Consider the following 17,439-nt stretch of genomic DNA (forward strand, 5'->3'; position numbering starts at 1 on the left):
CATTCAGATACTGCCAGTGCCCTCAAGCTGGGCTTCCCACCAAGGTTTACAAGGCTGTGCAGTGGCCTGAATCCTCACACTGCCATTTAAAAGCATGTATTTATTTATTTATTTAGAGACGGGGTCTCGCTCTGTCGCCCAGGCTGGAGTGTACTGGCGCGATCTCAGCTCACTGCAACCTCCGCCTCCCCGGGTTCAAGTGATTCTCCTGCTTCAGCCTCCCGAGTAGCTGGGATTATAGGCGCGTGCCACCACGCCTGGCTAATTTTTTGTGTATTTTTAGTAGAGACGGTTTCACCATGTTGGTCAGGCTGCTCTTGAACTCCCAACCTTGTGATCTGCCCGCCTCGGCCTCCCAAAGTGCTGGGATTCCAGGCGTGAGCCACCGCGCCTGGCGTAAAAGCTTTTAATGCAACAGATTACATTTTGTTTTAATTTGCCTTTCTTTGGTTATTAATGAAGGTAAACATTTTTCGTGTCTCTTATTATAATTTTCTTTTGTGAATCAGCTGTTCCAGTTCTGTGCTCATAGTTCTTTTTTGAAAGCCTCTCTTTTCTCGCTCACGTATAAGACGTCTTTCCGTGTTGAGGCGTCGTGTCCTGCCTTTTATTCTTTCCCCCGCTGTCACCATCTTTCGTCCTCTCTTTCAAGGCTGCTCCCATCTCAGTTCAGCCTCAGCAGGTTAGGGGTCTGGGGAAGGCAGTTTCTCTGCGGGCCTCAGCTTCTTTATGTGTAAAATGTGGACGCCAGGCCTGTTGTGGGAACAGGCAGCCCAGGGGTGCCACCCGTGAGGTCACTGGCTGCTCACTCCATCTGCTGCTGCCCTCAGTTCCCTCGCCTCACCCCACGTTGTCCCTGCGGCCTCCTGCACAGACGTGGGCTGGGCAGGTGTGCAGTGGAGGCCGAGAAACCTGCCTGCCCAAGAACTACCTGACAGGCATCCTGTCAGGGAGCGGTCCCCCCTTGGGACGGTCCCTGGTCATTAGCTGGACGGCAAGCAGGACAGCGGCTCAGAGAGGCCCAGCCCCTTCCTTAAGTGCTCCCGTGGGCGGGATTCAAGTCCTGATCTTGACCATCTCTCTCCCTGCAGGCATCACGTGGGGCAAGGTGGTGTCCCTGTATGCGGTGGCCGCGGGGCTGGCCGTGGACTGTGTGAGGCAGGCCCAGCCTGCCATGGTCCACGCCCTCGTGGACTGCCTGGGGGAGTTCGTGCGCAAGACCCTGGCAACCTGGCTGCGGAGACGCGGCGGATGGGTGAGCGCCTGAGTGCCCGTGTGGGTGGGAGAGCTGGGGTGCGAGGGTGCAGAGGTACAGGAGGGAGTGGTGGATGGGTGAGCCTCTGAGCGCCTGGGGGGTGGGAGAGCTGGGGTGCGAGGGTACAGACGTACGGGAGGGAGTGGCGGATGGGTGAGTGTCTGAGCGCCTGGGGGGTGGGAGAGCTGGGGTGCGAGGGTGCAGAGGTACGGGAGGGAGTGGCGGATGGGTGAGCCTCTGAGCGCCTGGGGGGTGGGAGAGCTGGGGTGCGAGGGTACAGACGTACGGGAGGGAGTGGCGGATGGGTGAGTGTCTGAGCGCCTGTGGGGGTGGGAGAGCTGGGGTGCGAGGGTGCAGAGGTACAGGAGGGAGTGGTGGATGGGTGAGCCTCTGAGCGCCTGGGGGGTGGGAGAGCTGGGGTGCGAGGGTACAGACGTACGGGAGGGAGTGGCGGATGGGTGAGTGTCTGAGCGCCTGTGGGGGTGGGAGAGCTGGGGTGCGAGGGTGCAGAGGTACAGGAGGGAGTGGTGGATGGGTGAGCCTCTGAGCGCCTGGGGGGTGGGAGAGCTGGGGTGCGAGGGTACAGACGTACGGGAGGGAGTGGCGGATGGGTGAGTGTCTGAGCGCCTGTGGGGGTGGGAGAGCTGGGGTGCGAGGGTGCAGAGGTACAGGAGGGAGTGGCGGATGGGTGAGTGTCTGAGCGCCTGTGGGGGTGGGAGAGCTGGGGTGCGAGGGTGCAGAGGTACGGGAGGGAGTGGCGGATGGGTGGTCACCTGAGCACTCCTGGGGGAGATGGGTGAGGCAGGGGGTGGGGCAAGGGCCGAGACCTACAGGCAGGCCCTGGACTCTCCTCTGCCCAGATCCAGCACTGACTTACCCCCGATCCTACCCCTGTGCTAAGGACCCGCTGCCCCAGCCCCCGCCCTCCCGAGTGGGAAAAGCAAGGCCCCGAGGGGTGGGTGTCAGAGCCAAACCCTTCCTCTGTCTCCACGCCCCCAACTTCCTGCCCTGCTCCGGCCAGACCGCAGTTGCCGCTGGGCCCTGGGTGTGGAGGGTGGCTCCCCTGCCGAGAGTCTAGCCTTCTTTCCTGTACAGCGGGTGTTGGCCTGGTGTGTAAATCAGCGGCCAGGGGTGACAGCGCTCAGACCCCTCTGCTGGGGCCTTAGCTTTAGCATCTCGAGAGATTGAGGTCACGTGGTCTGCGGGGGCTGTGGTCTCCTCTGAAGGCTGAATTGGGGGTGCAGAGGGCAATGTCCCAAGATGTCGCACATGGCTACAGGTGTCCCTCAGCACAGAAACCCCAAGACTTCCGTCCCCTCCTGTCTTCCTCCTGTGGAGTCTGGCATGGGGCTGGGCACTGTGTGCCCAGTGGGCGACGACACTTTGAGCAACGCCAAGGCCACAGGTCCAGGCTGCAGGGAAAAGCCTTCATGTATTAGCAGGAAGTGAAGGGAATAAGAGAATTGGACGTTCATTCACTTCCCCAGAAGGAACTTCAGAGTCCAGGGAGTCCGTGGGCTTCCGGAAACGCAGTCCCTGCTGTTGTTCCAGGCAGAGTCTGAATGAAGCTGGGTTTGCCCCTTCCTGGTAGCCCAGGCTCCAAGGCCCCACAGGAGGATGACGGCGGCATACCTGTAGCCCCTGGGGGGCAGCAGGCAGGTGGCCGAGGGGAGCTGGCACCCTGGTCTGGATGTCTGGAGCCCCAGCGAGGGCCATGAAGGCCTCTCTCCTGCTCGGCAGGGGCCCTCCGGCCGGCCTGCCTGGCTGCCATCTGTCCCCACCTCCCGTGCCTCCTGGCCCTTCACACTGTCTGAATGTGCACGGCATCGGGTCTGGTCTTGTGTTGGAGCCTTCAGTCCAGGCCACAGACCTCCTTCCCGAACAGTCTCCTGCATTCCCTTCATGCAATTTTGCTGATATTCTGGTGCACGGTGCTGGGGGGCCTGGCGGTGCTGGGGGCCTGGCGGTGCTGGCTCTGCTTTCTAACGGTCTCCCTCTTCCCTCCCAGACTGATGTCCTCAAGTGTGTGGTCAGCACAGACCCTGGCCTCCGCTCCCACTGGCTGGTGGCTGCACTCTGCAGCTTCGGCCGCTTCCTGAAGGCTGCCTTCTTCGTGCTGCTGCCAGAGAGATGAGCTGCCCACCTGGCAGTGGCCGCAGCCTGGCCCTCTGGGCCCAACGCAGGAGGCCCTCAGCACCCGAACACATCTTCCTCCTCCCCACCCGAGCCTGGAGCACTCTAACCCTCGGAGACCCCCTAAGCCCCGTTCCTCCGCAGACCCAGGCCCTCCGGAAGGGGTGAGTGGGGAGGGGCTTTCCTGAGCCTGGAGCTGGGCTTTGGGGCAGCCTGCGACCCTCCCCGCTTGTGTCCCTTCTCCTGTGATCTCTGTGTTTTCCCTTTTCTTTCTGGGGCCAGGAAGTCAGGGTCAACTCCCAGGCCTCAGATGCAGGGGCCCAGAACACCTGCTCTCACCTGAGCCCCAGGTGAAGGGGCCCGGGAACACCTGCTCTCACCTGAGCCCCAGGTGAAGGGGCCCGGGAACACCTGCTCTCACCTGAACCCCAGGTGAAGGGGCCCGGAACACCTGCTCTCACCTGAGCCCCAGGTGAAGGGGCCCGGAACACCTGCTCTCACCTGAGCCCCAGGTGAAGGGGCCCGGGAACACCTGCTCTCACCTGAGCCCCAGGTGAAGGGGCCCGGGAACACCTGCTCTCACCTGAACCCCAGGTGAAGGGGCCCAGAACACCTGCTCTCACCTGAGCCCCAGGTGAAGGGGCCCGGAACACCTGCTCTCACCTGAGCCCCAGGTGAAGGGGCCCGGGAACACCTGCTCTCACCTGAGCCCCTGGTGAAGGGGCCCGGAACACTTGCTCTCACCTGAGCCCCAGGTGAAGGGGCCCGGAACACCTGCTCTCACCTGAGCCCCCGGTGAAGGGGCCCGGAACACTTGCTCTCACCTGAGCCCCAGGTGAAGGGGCCCGGAACACCTCCTCTCACCTGAGCCCCAGGTGAAGGGGCCCGGAACACCTCCTGTCACCTGAGCCCCAGGTGAAGGGGCCCGGGAACACCTCTCACCTGAACCCGGGGGTCCCATCCCAGGAAGAAGGGCCATCTCAGGACATGAGTCCTCAGGGGCCCTGCACATTCAATCTGAAGGTGACCCTGGCCTGGCTGAAGCTGGAAGAGCTGTGGGGACTCAGCCTGTAAACAGAGCGTAAGGTTCACATGCTGGTTGCTTAATCCGTTTCTGGAGGAAGAGTATGACACCCACTTGTGATGGGGTCCTTGTGCGGTGGGGACCGGGGCCGGCGGGCTCCAGGCCAGCACACCTAACCCATGGATGTGGAACCTACGGCCGAGAAGGAATGTTGCATGAGTCGGATCCCAGTCCATTGTCAGTGGAGGGTGAGGGTGACCCCATCTGCTATTTTTGTGCTCATCCTCATACAACCATTTGGGGATGTGCCTATTAGGGCTCCGTAAGAACTCAGATGCCTGGGAAGCCCAGCCCCTCAGGTGCCCCCACACACAGCCTTCCCTTGACGCCTACATTTCTAGGCACATGTGAGGCATCTTTCCTGGAGCCCCGAGCCAGCCCTGTCCCTCCCCAGTGCAGCATGGCACTCAGGAGATACAGGCTGGACATGGGGCAGTCGTTCTGGGGAGGCCTGGCCTAGCAGCCACCCACCTGAGCCCTCCCGGCCAGGCTTCGTGCTGGGGTGGGCCATGTGCCAGGACAGGAGGGTCCCGGCGGAAAGCCAGCCCCGGACTCATCGTGACATTGAGATCCCACTGGAGGGTAGGGGTGGTAATAAACTTCTCCAAACGATCGTTGTCATTTTAGACAGAATGTCACTGTGTGTGTGTTAAATAGCTTCTACCTATACACAACATGGTAAGAGGTGCGGAGGGTTTGCTTGAAAATAATTGAGGGTGGGGAGTGGCGAGAGGGTGGGGATGGGAGGGTTCCTGGAATTGGGTCTTTATCCTGATTAGATGTAAAGGCACTAATGCTGATTTCCAGTAGTAAAAAGAACACCGATAGTCCATAGTGTGATGTGGCAATAGAGGTATGCATAGTATCACCACTGGGTGCTCCTAATTAAATACTTGCAGAAGGCAGGGTTCTCGGTGGCTTTTGAACACTTTCATCAAACTAGAGTATAATGGGCCAGGACCAGTAGCTCACACCTGTCATCCCAGCACTTTGGGAGGCAGGAGGATGGCTTGAGGCCAGGAGTTCAAGACCAGCCTAGGCAACATAACAAGATCCCATCTCTAAAAAATAAAATTAGTCAAGCACGGTGGCCTGCACCTGTGGTTCCAGCTACTCTGGAGGCTGAGGTGGGAGGATTGGTTGAATCTGAGAGGTTGACGCTGCAGTTAGCTGTGATTGTACCACTGTACTCCGGCCTGGGTAACACAGTGAGACCCTGTCTCAAAAAAAAAAAGCCGTGTGTGGTGGCTCACGCCTATAATCCCAGCACTTTGGGAGGCCTGAGGCGGGCAGATCACCTGAGGTCAGGAGTTCAAGACCACCTTGGCCAACATGGCAAAACCCCAACTCTTCTAAAAATACAGAAATTAGCCAAGTGTGGTGGCAGGCACCTGTAATCCCAGCTACTCGGGAGGCTGAGGCAGGAGAATTACTTGCACCTGGGAGGCAGAGGTTGCAGTGAGCTGGGATTGCCCCACTGCATTCCAGCCTGGGCTACAGAGTGAGACTCCATCTCAGAAAAAGTATCATGGGAGTGAGCTCAGGATTCAGATTCCCAGCTGAAGTGTCACATGAATAATCTGAAAGTTATGACTGTCCCAAGAGAGACTCTTACCTCCTTTAGCTGCGGGTCTGAGACTACTGAAAATCAAACCCAGAATCTCGCCCTTCCAGTGGCTGGATTATAGCACATGTGGAACTCCCAGCCTCACGGTGTCTGCTGTGCAAATGAAGGCATTGGTTAGGAAGGAATGGGATCCTGTCAGTTGGGATGAGGATGTGTGGGGTGACCCTGATGAACAGTGAAGACAACCCCTAAATCCTGATGAGTCTTCAGTGGAAGAGGCCTTCCTAACCCTAGTGGTAGCCTCCCCAACTCCATCTGAGTGGGTTAACCCTGTACTGCCTGAGGAAATGGGACTGCCCTGAGGCTGCTGACTAGCAGGACCAAGCTGCTGCTTCCCAGGATCTGCCCCCACCCCTCTTTGCTTCTAGACATGGAACTAGACTGATGTTGGGCAGCCCCTAGAGATACAGGGCGTGACCATGAGGAGATGCACTTACCAAAGAGAACGTGAGTTTTCCAGTTTACATAGAAATCCCAGGACCGTGGGAATGCATATTGAGGGCCTGGGAGAATGGTAGGAGGAACACAGAGTTAGATCAGGCCAAGTTTATTGATACGGGCTCACTAAGCAGAGATTCCGCATTTAGAAAGGGCTCTAATTGGTTGGTTGGCTGCTTGGCTGAAACATGGGCCAAAACATGGCCCACCATGGGATAACTGGACATGCCTGGCCGCCCATGGTTAGTGTAGAAGAAGGGATTCAAAGGCTTAGGGAGATTGGAATGCTAGAGTGGATTTGTCTGCCCCATGCTGCTTTCGTTCCCCTGCTAGAGTGGATTTGTCCTCCCTATTCTCCTCTTCCTCCTCCTCTGCAGCCCTCCACTACCCTCCTCCTACATCCCTCCTCCTCCTCCAGTCCTCCTCCCTCTCCCCTTCCCCTGCAACTCTCCACCACTCTCCTTCTCCCACTGCAGTTCTCTTTTCTTTGTAGCCCTCCTCCTCCTCCCCTGCCAGCTCTCCTCCCCCTCCCCTGCAATACTCCTCCTCCCCTTGCAGCCTTCCTCCCTCTCCTCCTCCCGCTGCAGCCCTCCACCCTCCTTCCCTGCAGCTCTACTCTTTTCTTTGTAGCCCTCCTCCTTATCCAGCCCTCCACCCCTCCCCTGGCAGCCCTACTCCCTCCCCTTCCTCCTCCTGTCTGCAGCCTTCAACTCCCTCCTCCTCCTATACTTCTCTCCCTCATCTTCCCTCAGGACCCAGCCCTAATGCCAGCACCCCAAGCCTTCGCTGACCCTTAGCAGGGAAGCTCCCGACTGGGTGCACGCGGCCGTGCCCAGGAACTCTGGTTCGGGCCTGCTGCAGGGCTCGTTTGCCTCTCCAGCGGTGGCTCTCAGGTGCTGCGGTGCCGTGGCCAAGGAGCCACACAAGAAGGCCCACGACCTGTGTCCCTCAGCTTTGTGCATCTGCTTCTCCGGGACGGGGCCCCCTTGAGGGCAGGCCTGGTGGACCACCCTGTTTCCCATGAGGCCTTGCACAGGCCTTCCTGTGGACACTGGACACGGGTGACTGAACCTGAAGTGTGAGATGTTTCTAAGATCTCATGAAGTGTGAGATGTTTCTAAAATCTCTACATGGGCCGACCACAACCTGCTATCTTCTGCTACTGTGTGCCATGCTAGAGCTCCCCTACCCTGGGAACAAACGCCAGGGTGCCCTGCGGCCCGGCTCTCCTCGGTTCCCCTGATCCATCCAGGGAACAAACGCCAGGGTGCCCTGCGGCCCGGCTCTCCTCGGTTCCCCTGATCCGCCCAGAGAACAAACGCCAGGGTGCCCTGCGGCCCGGCTCTCCTCAGTTCCCCTGATCCATCCAGGGAACAAATGCCAGGTGCCCTGAGGCCTGGCTCTCCTCAGTCCTCCGATCGGGTCCAGTCCATTTTCATTCATTTCACTTTGGTCTCCTGTCTGTCTGTGCCTCTGGGCCAAACTCATTGCAGGGCCATGGCCCCGGGCAGGCCCCACCTTCCTGCTTTCTGATGCAGCGATATTCTTCCCTTTTTAGGACCTCACTCTGTCGCCCAGGCTGGAGTGCAGTGGCGCAGTCTTGGCTCATTGCAACCTCTGCCTCCCGGGTTCAAGTGATTCTTGTGCCTCAGCCTCCTGAGTAGCTGGAATTACAGGCGCCTGCCACCACGCCTGGCTAATTTTTCTATTTTTCATAGAGATGGGGTTTTGCCATGTTGGCCAGGCTGGTCTCGAACTCCTGACCTCAAGGGATCCACCCACCTCGGCCTCCCAAAGTGCTAGAATTACAGGTGTGAGCCACCGCACCCAGCTGACATTCTCCTCTTAAAGCCTGTCTGATGCCAGCTCAGGCCACAGGGCACATTAGGCTTCTGACAAAGCTGGAGGACAAGGCCCCCTCGCATGCCCCATCCTCTCCTCGCCCCCCCCTCCCCCGAGTGCCTCCTTCGAAGCCCTGCCTCCCTCTATCATGCCCTCCCCCCACGCAGCCTCAAGAAACATGAAGAGGGGACCTCTGGGGTGGTCTGGCAACGCCTGCCTGGTGGACAGCAGATGGGAGAGAAGGAAAGCAGCCGGTAGGAGAAGAGACAGAGGAAAGGGGAGGAGGAAGCCCATGCTCAAGGTGCCCCTCCTGCCCAGGCTTCCTGCCAGATGCTTCTTGGATCAAATACTTTGTTATATTTCCAGCACAAGAAAGTGATGTTACAAACACTAAGAGAATTCAGAGAAACAGCAGGATTTAAAGTAGCACACAGAGATCTTTGTGCATACTTTCAGTTCAAAGACAGAGTGGAAGAGATGACCCATTTTTAACAGCAACAAAAAGATAAAAATCCCCATGCGTAAAAGAAATGTGAAACCCTAAATGGGAAAAACTTTAAATAGACCATAAAGACACCAAAGTCGATTTTAACACCACCATGGTTTGAATGAATTCCCCAAAAGTTCATGTGTTGGAAACCTGGACTCCAATGCAGCAGTGCTGGGATGGGATTCTGGGGAGGTGATTGGCTCATGAGGACTAATCCATTCATGGACTAATGGGTTCTCAGGGAGTGGAGCAGTTATCACCAGGGGGCTGGTTATAAAAGCCAGCTTTGCCGTCTCTCATGAGACCCTCACATAATGCCCGGCACCACTTGAGACTGCAGAGTCTTGACCAGCAAGAAGGTCCTCACCAGATGCAACTCCTATACCTTGGACTCCCTGCCTCCAGAACTGTAAGAAATAAAATTCTTTTCTTTATAACTTACCCACTCTGTGGTATTCAGTCATAGCAACAGAAAATGAATTAAGACAGAAAGAAAGACCATGTTCCTGGATAAGAAAACTCTCCTAAGCAAGACAATTCTACAAAAGTAAATTTATAAATGTAATGTAATCCTTATAAAAACGCCGCATGCTTTTCCCCAGATCTAGAAAACTAATTATAAAGTTCATGTGAGAGAGGAAGTGCACAGGAGTGTAAAAATAGCCAGGAAAACTCTGCAAAAGAAATGGAGAGGTCCTCTGCCCCCGAACCATCTCCTGGCCTCCGTAATGGAACCACATGACACCAGGACCCATGTAGGCAAGCAGGCCCAGGGACATGAAAACCCGGGGACAGACCCCAGTGCCTAGAACATTCAGTCTATAAGGTAGCATATGATACCGGTGAGGAAAGGATGGACTTGTTAATACAAGTGGTTAAACGTTAACCACTTGGAGAAAGACGAAAATGAATCTGCACTTCATACCATACACTAAGACAAATTCCAAATGGGTCAAAAGTACTAGGAAAAAGTGAATTCCTTCATCACCGGGGAGTGGGCAAAATCTTCTTAAATATGACTTAAAACCCAGGAGTGATAAAAGACAAAATGTATACTGGGAAAAAAGTTTTATAACATAGCACATTTTCAAAGTGTCGGTGACTTGAGTGGGAAGCAGGGCAGTGACTGTCGGGGACTGAGGGTGGGGGGATGGTGTTGAACGGGCGCGGGGTCTCCTTCTGGCGTGATGAAGGCTTTGGAAGCACACAGAAGTGATGGTTGTACGTTATGAATGTATTAAATGCTGCTAAATTGTAGACTTTAAGAGATGGTTAAAATGGTGAATTTTTTTAACCATCTATAGGACTCTGATAAAAATGTTGTTTTATGTATATTTTACCTCAATAAAAATTATAACTTAAAATGAGAAATATTAGGATTAATATTCCTTATTCAAACGAGCTCATGAGTTTGGAAAATCAAGAAAATGATTAAAAAAAAAAAAGAGAGAGAGAAATGCAAACCAAAACCACCCCAAGACTCCATTTCTCACCTACAAGATTGACCCAAATCCAAATTTGACACCAGATTCGGCTGCTGAGGGGGGCAGGGACTTCCTACAATGCTGTGGGGATGCAGAACGCCTGGCCCCTTGGGGACAGGGACAACACCCAGACAAGCCAGATGAGCCTCTCCCCGCCGACTGGCAATCCCACTTCCAGAAATGTATCCTTAAGATACGATGGCCAGAATCCACAAGGATGTGGAAATGCCCTTCTAACCAGACTTAGAAGACAAGCACTCTGCAGTCCCAACGGAGGTGCTGGGTCCAACTCTGACATTTGATTGGCCAAAGACTGGAAACAACCCAAGGCCCAGCATGAGGGGATCTGCTGGCTAACTCACGGTGAGCTAATCCACGGCGAGCTAACCCACGGCGAGCTAACCCACGGCGAGCTAACCCACCGCCAGCTAACCCACGGCGAGCTAACCCACGGCGAGCTAACCCACGGCCAGCTAACCCACGGCGAGCTAACCCACGGCCAGCTAACCCACGGCCAGCTAACCCACGGCCAGCTTACCCACGGCCAGCTAACCCACGGCCAGCTAACCCACGGCGAGCTAACCCACGGCCAGCTTACCCACGGCGAGCTAACCCACGGCGAGCTAACCCACGGCGAGCTAACCCACGGCGAGCTTACCCACGGCGAGCTAACCCACGGCGAGCTAACCCACGGCGAGCTAACCCACGGCGAGCTTACCCACGGCGAGCTAACCCACGGCGAGCTAACCCACGGCGAGCTAATCCACGGCGAGCTAACCCACGGTGAGCTAATCCACGGCGAGCTAACCCACGGCGAGCTTACCGGAGCACTCGGTAGCTGTGCTAGAGGCCTGTGTGGAGCAAATGTGCCTGGTTTTACAGTTCTGACAAGAAAGCCAGTCAAATGATTTGTATTCGCAAAACAAATTATAACAATTTCTAGAATTTAAACAAATGGACTTGTGTATCAAGTTGGTGACAGAAGCGCAGAGTAGTTAATCCAATTACATCATATTTTAACTTTGTATCTTCAAAGGGAAAGGTCTAAAAAAGCTAGCAGAAAAAAACTTTGACCAGTAGTCATTGTTAACAATACCTTTTTTGGTAGAGGTGGGGTCTTACTATGTTGCCCAGGCTTATTTTGAAATGATTATATGCATTTATATGTAGAATAAAGCAAATAATGTTAATGTTGTAATGAACCAAGATTTTCAGCTTAAGAGGTAAAATCAAAGAATATTTAAAAACCCTTATAATCTTAACATTTGAATGGAAAACAGTATGAATTCATATTTTTCAAAAATACATGTGTATATCCCATGCTAAAGTAGTTAAGGGTGAAGGGTCCTGATCTCTAATACAACCTCACGATTCAGAGAAAATAAACCAGAAATTTTTTTTTTTTTTTTTTTTTGAGAGAGAGTGTCTTGCTCTGTCGCCCAGGCTGGAGTGCAATGGTGTGATCTCGGCTCACTGCAACCTCTGCCTCGCAGGTTTAAGCAATTCTCCTGCCTCAGCCCCCCGAGTAGCTGGGATTACAGGTGCCCGCCACCATGCCTGACTAATTTTTTGTATTTTTAGTAGAGATGGGGTTTTGTCATGTTGGCCAGGTTCGAACTCCTTACCTCAGGTGATCCATCCACCTCGGCCTCCCAAAGTGCTGGGATTACAGGCATGAGCCACCGCGCCTAGCTGAGAAAATAAATTTTAGAACAATTTTCTGGTTTTGTCCATGGAAAGGCTGGGAGGTAGAGCAGCCCAGCCATCATAAGCAGTCAGTGCTCAGTCTGTGGCCTCCAATTCCCACTCCCTCCAATTCCCACTCCCCACTAACGAGAACCAGGGCTCTGGAGAAATGGGTAGTTCCAGGTTCTGGGCAGGAAAAGTCAGAGGCAGCTGTGGCCCCAGAGCAAGGAGGCATCAAAGCCCACTGGATGGAGGGGCTCCTCTGTCCAATTACGAGATAATCTGAGCATCTCCTGTTTGCCAAAGATATACGCAGCACTTGATTAAAATGATATCAAATACAGTTGGCCCTCCATTTCTGTGGATTCAACTGTGTATAAAAAATATTCCTGGCCGGGCATGGTGGCTCACACCTGTAATCCTAGCACTTTGGGAGGCTGAGGTGGGTGGATCACGAGGTCAGGAGATCGAGACCAGCCTGGCTAACATGGTGAAATCCCGTCTCTACTAAAAATACAAAAAATTAGCCAGGTGTGGTGGCGGGCGCCTGTAGTCCCAGCTACTCGGGAGGCTGAGGCAGTAGAATGGCATGAACCCGGGAGGCAGAGCTTGCAGTGAGCCGAGATCGCACCACTGCACTTCAGCCTGGGCAACAGAGCGAGACTCCATCTCAAAAAATAAATAAATAAATAAATAAATAAAAATAAAAATATTCCCCAAAAGCCCACAATAAAAAACCCCAAAAATATACAGTATAACAACTGCGTACAGAGCATTTACACTGTATCAGGTATTATAAGCAATCTAGAGATGACTTAAGGTATATGTGAGAATGTGCATAAGTTGCATGCAAATCCCATGCCATTTTATACAAGAGACTCGAGCATCTGATTTTGGTACCCGTGTGGGTCCTGTAACGCACCCCTGTGGATACTGAGGACAGACTGTATACATGAAAGCATTAAGCTCGTAACATGAGTAGGGAAGCGGGAAGGGTAAGTGCAGTGGTGTGAGGAACTCCCAGTCCTTTGGCACCACTGGAGGGTGCCAGGACATTCTTACTCCAAAAATTGATCATTAAAGGGAAATAATTAAGTGCTTATGCTGCCTTTCTAGTATGAACGCACTTCAGGGTAACCTGACTTACCCTAATGGATAAAGGGAAGGTCTGAGAGAATTCCAGCCACTAAATGTCCTTCTGATGAGACAGAAGACGAGAATTCTGCAGTCCCAGTGAAGGTTCTGGTTCTAGCAATGGTCACCCACAGGTGGCAAAACTGTCAGGGGAACAGTTGAGGGGAAACTGACGATAAAGGGGTCAGGCTGTCGCCATCCAAGCTTATTAATGCTTCAACAAAGTGACACAATTGGACATGAGGCTGTGACACGAGGAACTGAGCACCGTCCGGGTGTGATTCCAGCCACAACTTTAGATCCAACTTCCAGACGACAGGATATAGAGGGGACAGAGGAACAAGTTAAACACTACAAGGAGGATGCTAAGTCCAGACTGGGGACACCTTCGAGGACAAGTGACCAGCTTCACCAACAAGTCAAGGGCACAGGGGAGGGAAGAGGGGGACTTTTAGGATCAAAAGGATCCTAAAAGACTTTGTAGCCAAACACAAACGTGAATAAAGCTTTGATAATCCAATCGTGTGAGGATATTTCTTAGGCAGTAAGGGAAATACGAATAGGACTGTTAGAGAACATTACAGAATTCTTATGCATTTTGTGAAAACAGCACTGTGCCGTCAGTTATTGACTTCTTGTCTCTTGGCTTGTCTGTGCTCTGCCCTGAGTGCTGCCCTTCCACACACCCTTCCAGCTGGGTGTGCTGGAGCCCTGGATGCAGGAGTTGGGGCTGGGACCTCCCTGGTGTTCCCAGGTTATTTCAGCATCACTTTGGGAGCAGAGACAGCTCTGAGCCCAGCCACCAGGTCCCTTGGTGCCCCCTTGGCTCCTGGAGTACAGTCCTAGGCCCTCCTGCCCCTCTTGCGAGAACCAAGCACATCCTGTAAGCTCTGAGGTCCCTGAAACCCCACCCTGGTAATACTTTTTGTCCCCAAGCCCTGGAGGTGGTACCTGCGGTTGCTACCCTGGATGTTAACCCTGCGCAGCCTGTGTGCTACCTATTCTGACTCTGCTTCCCAACACCCGTGTAGCCTCGTCTCCATGTGCCTGGTGAGACTTCTGATATGGCAACGAGTTAAGAGAAAGAAAATGGCTTTGTGTTGTTTTGTGATGCCTACCAAAGGATTTAGGGGCAAGTGACAATATGTCTGGAATTTGCTTACGTGTATTCCCGCAGAAGTGGGGGAGGAAAAGATGGAAGTGCTTTGGGCAAAATGCTGGCAGGTGCTGAAGCTGGGTGACAGGTACAAGGGTTTAGTGTATGTTTGGAAACTTTCATAGTGAAAAAAACCCCACAAAAACGAAAGCTGTATTAGAGTTACAAACTAAAACTTACATGATGATGTTAAGATCACAGCTAGCCTCTTGGGAATGCTCCATCTGTAGGAAAATATAGACTCGGCTCTTTAAAAGTAATGAGAAAATGACTGCCATCTTTTTTTTTTGGAGACAGGGTCTTGCTCTGTCACCCAAGTTGGAGTGCAGTGGTGTGATCTTGGTTCACTGCAACCTCCACCACCCGGGCTCCAGGGATCCTCCCACCTCAGCCTTCTGAGTAGGTGGGACCACAGGCATGGACCACCATACTCGGCTAATATTTCTATTTTTTTTTGTAGGGATGGGGTTTTGCCACGTTGCCCAGGCTGGTCCCAAACTCCTGGCTTCAAGCCATTTCCTCGCCTTGGCCTCCCAAAGTGCTGGGATTATAGGCGTGAGCCACTGCGCCCGGCCAACTCTATAGAAGATTTACAAATATTTTAGATCTTGTCAAAACTGTAAGAAGAAAGAAAAGGAAAGAGATTCATCCCTTCTTAATTTTTTTTTTTTTTTTTTTCCAGACAGAGTCTTGCTCTTGTCTCCCAGGCTGGAGTGCAGTGGTGCGATCTTGGCTCACTGCAACCTCCAACTCCTGGGTTCAAGCGATTCTCCTGCCTTAGCCTCCCAAGTAGCCAGGATTATAGGCATGCGCCACCACACCTGGCTAATTTTTTGTATTTTAAGTAGAGACGGGGTTTCTCCATGTTGGTCAGGCTGGTCTCGAACTCCTGACCTTAGGTGATCCGCCAGCCTTGGTCTCCCATAGTACTGGGATTACAGGCGTGAGCCACCACACCCAGCCCCCTTCTTAATTTCTTAGGGAACGCTTTGGAAAACAAACATCAGCAGATAAAAAAAAAATGTACAGCCTACGCAAGTGATAATATTCAAAATCCTCAGCCATAAAAATAAAGGCCTTTTATTTGGTTTTTCTATGCCAGTACAGAAACATCTGGACAACACTCTTGAGCCTGCAGAGGCTCACGGCCACACCCACTTCTGCCGCAGGGACTGTCTGTTGAGGAGCCGAACCGTTGAGGCACAGTAGCCAGGCCCTCCCGAGGGCTCCAGAAGCTCTAGGTTTACGGGGTCACCTTCTTGTAGGTGACGTGAAGATGCTGAGTCATTGGCTGTGTCGTGGTTGCCATGGAGACCGTCTGCTCAAGTTTGCCTTCAGAATTCAGCCTGAACTTCCGGGTGATCTGAGCAGGAGAATGGAACAAAGATAGCTTAGTTTTATCTTCAAAAGATTCAATCAATGCCTGTGCGCCCACTGCATGCCACACACTCATCACGGGCTGTGAGCCAGGCAGTGGCCCTGCCAGAGGAGGGTAGACACACAGCCCAGGGCCCCTGGGCATGTCACAATCCAGGTGCCCTTCAGCTGCCTCCAGAAGACCACCAGGGGAACACAGGGATTGTTTATTTAGAAGTCACCTTTTTTGTCGACGGCCATACCACCCTGAACGCACCTGATCTCGTCTGACCTCGGAAGCTAAGGAGGGTCGGGCCTGGTTAGTACTTGGATGGGAGAAGTCACCTTTTTTTGGTCTCTACAAATCATATACCTGATCAGACAAGCGCTGAGCTTCCAGTGCTTCCCTTCTCCACTGCCTCCCACTTTCACTGTAACTAGAACTGATGTCCAGTGTGTTCTTGGAAAGCTCAGAAATACCATCTTTGGAACAGTAATTCATCAGAATAAATTATAGCAGCTGTTTCCAACAAGAATCCAAGCCTATGGCAGCTAAGTCCCGAATGAGTCAGCCCTATATGCCCAGAATGTTTGCCGGCAAATTGTGAGAGTGACCACTGTCAAAAGACAATTCTCTGATGGGCACTATCTCTCTAGTGCCCCAGATGTGTGGGGGGTCATGTGGGGTGGGGGGCACCAGAAGTGGATGAAACGGAGTTCTGCTTATGGCCATGGCTGACTACTCTGTAACTGACCAACCCTCCTGCAGATAACAACCCAGGTTTTAAGAAGTTTCTTTAAAGGTGTCAGAGAACCACCAAGTCAGCGAGGACCAGCACCCCAAAGAGAAGGAAGTGTGGAGGTGAGACCCAATTTGGAGCAACTGGCCCCGATGCTTTTGCTGCCCGGAAGTCAAGGGGTTCAAGGGGTGGAGGCTGAGAGGGATGTGGTAGCTAAGAGGCTGAGAAGCTAAGTGGGGCCTTCTCAGACTCATGGAGCTGGAGGGACAAACACTGGAATTCAGTGTCCATCTAGGAGGAGAGGCGCAGCCGGGCATGGTGGTATGCACATGTAGTCCCAGCTACTCGGGAAGTTGAGGCAGCAGAATTGCTTGAACCCAAGAGGTGGAGGTTGCAGTGAGCCGAGATCATGCCACTGCACTTCAGCCTGGGTGACAGAGCAAGACTCCTTCTCAAAAAAAAAAAAAAAAAGAAAAAAAAAAGAAAAAGAAAAAGAAAGAAAAAAAGCACCCTGAGGTTGGGCACGGTGGTTCACGCCTGTAATCCCAGCACTTTGGGAGGCCGAGGCGGGCGGATCACGAGGTAAGGAGATCGAGACCATCCTGGCTAACAGGGTGAAACCCCGTCTCTACTAAAAATACAAAAAAAATTAGCCGGGTGTGGTGGCGGGTGCCTGTAGTCCCAGCTACTCAGGAGGCTGAGGCAGGAGAATGGCGTGAACCCAGGAGGCGGAGCTTGCAGTGAGCCAAGATCGCGCCACTGCACTCCAGCCTGAGCAACAGAGCGAGACTCCATCTGAAGAGGAAAAAAAAAAAAAAAAAAAAAAGCACCCCAGCTTTGGGTGGGGTCCCTGAAGGGTCCCATCCCAGGAGTAAGAGTTAACCAGAAACAGGCTGGGAAGTCCGGTTTCAAACCAGCTCAGCCTCTACTGAACACGAGCTGTCCATCCTTGACCAACAGGCAGAAGCACAGAACTGCTCTTTGGTGAGGATAACATCAAAGGAAGCCTCAAGT

General features: G+C 53.3%; 2 protein-coding genes and 1 pseudogene across 12 annotated transcripts in view, besides 5 other annotated features; 2 read left to right on the forward strand and 1 right to left on the reverse strand.

The window, feature by feature from the left end:
* The window catches only part of BOK (BCL2 family apoptosis regulator BOK), a 22,739-nt gene extending 17,641 nt beyond the window's left edge, over positions 1–5,098 (forward strand). For 4 of the 7 annotated variants that reach the window (XM_047445588.1, XM_011511696.3, NM_032515.5 and 1 more), the window contains 2 exons: positions 1,092–1,255; positions 3,264–5,098. In XM_047445588.1, coding sequence (XP_047301544.1) covers positions 1,092–1,255; positions 3,264–3,389 — 290 coding nt within the window. In that variant the 3' untranslated portion in view covers positions 3,390–5,098. The remainder of the gene's footprint in view (positions 1–1,091; positions 1,256–3,263) is intronic. The other 3 variants (XM_011511697.4, XM_047445590.1, XM_047445589.1) reach the window with 1 other exon arrangement.
* Positions 1,023–1,647: an enhancer, noted in NCBI's record as "H3K27ac-H3K4me1 hESC enhancer chr2:242509471-242510095 (GRCh37/hg19 assembly coordinates)". NCBI's record gives its function as "activates a minimal SCP1, AML or CMV promoter by ChIP-STARR-seq in naive H9 embryonic stem cells {active_cell/tissue: H9 hESC(naive)}" and the evidence as "EXISTENCE:reporter gene assay evidence [ECO:0000049][PMID:30033119]".
* Positions 6,712–7,212: an enhancer, noted in NCBI's record as "H3K4me1 hESC enhancer chr2:242515160-242515660 (GRCh37/hg19 assembly coordinates)". NCBI's record gives its function as "activates a minimal SCP1, AML or CMV promoter by ChIP-STARR-seq in naive H9 embryonic stem cells {active_cell/tissue: H9 hESC(naive)}" and the evidence as "EXISTENCE:reporter gene assay evidence [ECO:0000049][PMID:30033119]".
* Positions 10,437–10,938: an enhancer, noted in NCBI's record as "H3K27ac hESC enhancer chr2:242518885-242519386 (GRCh37/hg19 assembly coordinates)". NCBI's record gives its function as "activates a minimal SCP1, AML or CMV promoter by ChIP-STARR-seq in naive H9 embryonic stem cells {active_cell/tissue: H9 hESC(naive)}" and the evidence as "EXISTENCE:reporter gene assay evidence [ECO:0000049][PMID:30033119]".
* Positions 10,939–11,438: an enhancer, noted in NCBI's record as "H3K27ac hESC enhancer chr2:242519387-242519886 (GRCh37/hg19 assembly coordinates)". NCBI's record gives its function as "activates a minimal SCP1, AML or CMV promoter by ChIP-STARR-seq in primed H9 embryonic stem cells {active_cell/tissue: H9 hESC(primed)}" and the evidence as "EXISTENCE:reporter gene assay evidence [ECO:0000049][PMID:30033119]".
* Positions 15,266–15,794: an enhancer, noted in NCBI's record as "H3K4me1 hESC enhancer chr2:242523714-242524242 (GRCh37/hg19 assembly coordinates)". NCBI's record gives its function as "activates a minimal SCP1, AML or CMV promoter by ChIP-STARR-seq in naive H9 embryonic stem cells {active_cell/tissue: H9 hESC(naive)}" and the evidence as "EXISTENCE:reporter gene assay evidence [ECO:0000049][PMID:30033119]".
* The window catches only part of THAP4 (THAP domain containing 4), a 53,172-nt gene continuing 51,104 nt past the window's right edge, over positions 15,372–17,439 (reverse strand). For all 5 annotated transcript variants that reach the window (XM_017004256.2, XM_011511291.3, NM_015963.6 and 2 more), the window contains one exon: positions 15,372–15,692. In XM_017004256.2, the coding sequence (XP_016859745.1) occupies positions 15,573–15,692 (120 nt within the window). In that variant the 3' untranslated portion in view covers positions 15,372–15,572. The remainder of the gene's footprint in view (positions 15,693–17,439) is intronic.
* RNA5SP122 (RNA, 5S ribosomal pseudogene 122) lies at positions 15,935–16,042 on the forward strand (annotated as a pseudogene).

The sequence above is a fragment of the Homo sapiens genome, chromosome 2 (assembly GCF_000001405.40).
Source record: "Homo sapiens chromosome 2, GRCh38.p14 Primary Assembly".
Classification (NCBI taxonomy): domain Eukaryota; kingdom Metazoa; phylum Chordata; class Mammalia; order Primates; family Hominidae; genus Homo; species Homo sapiens.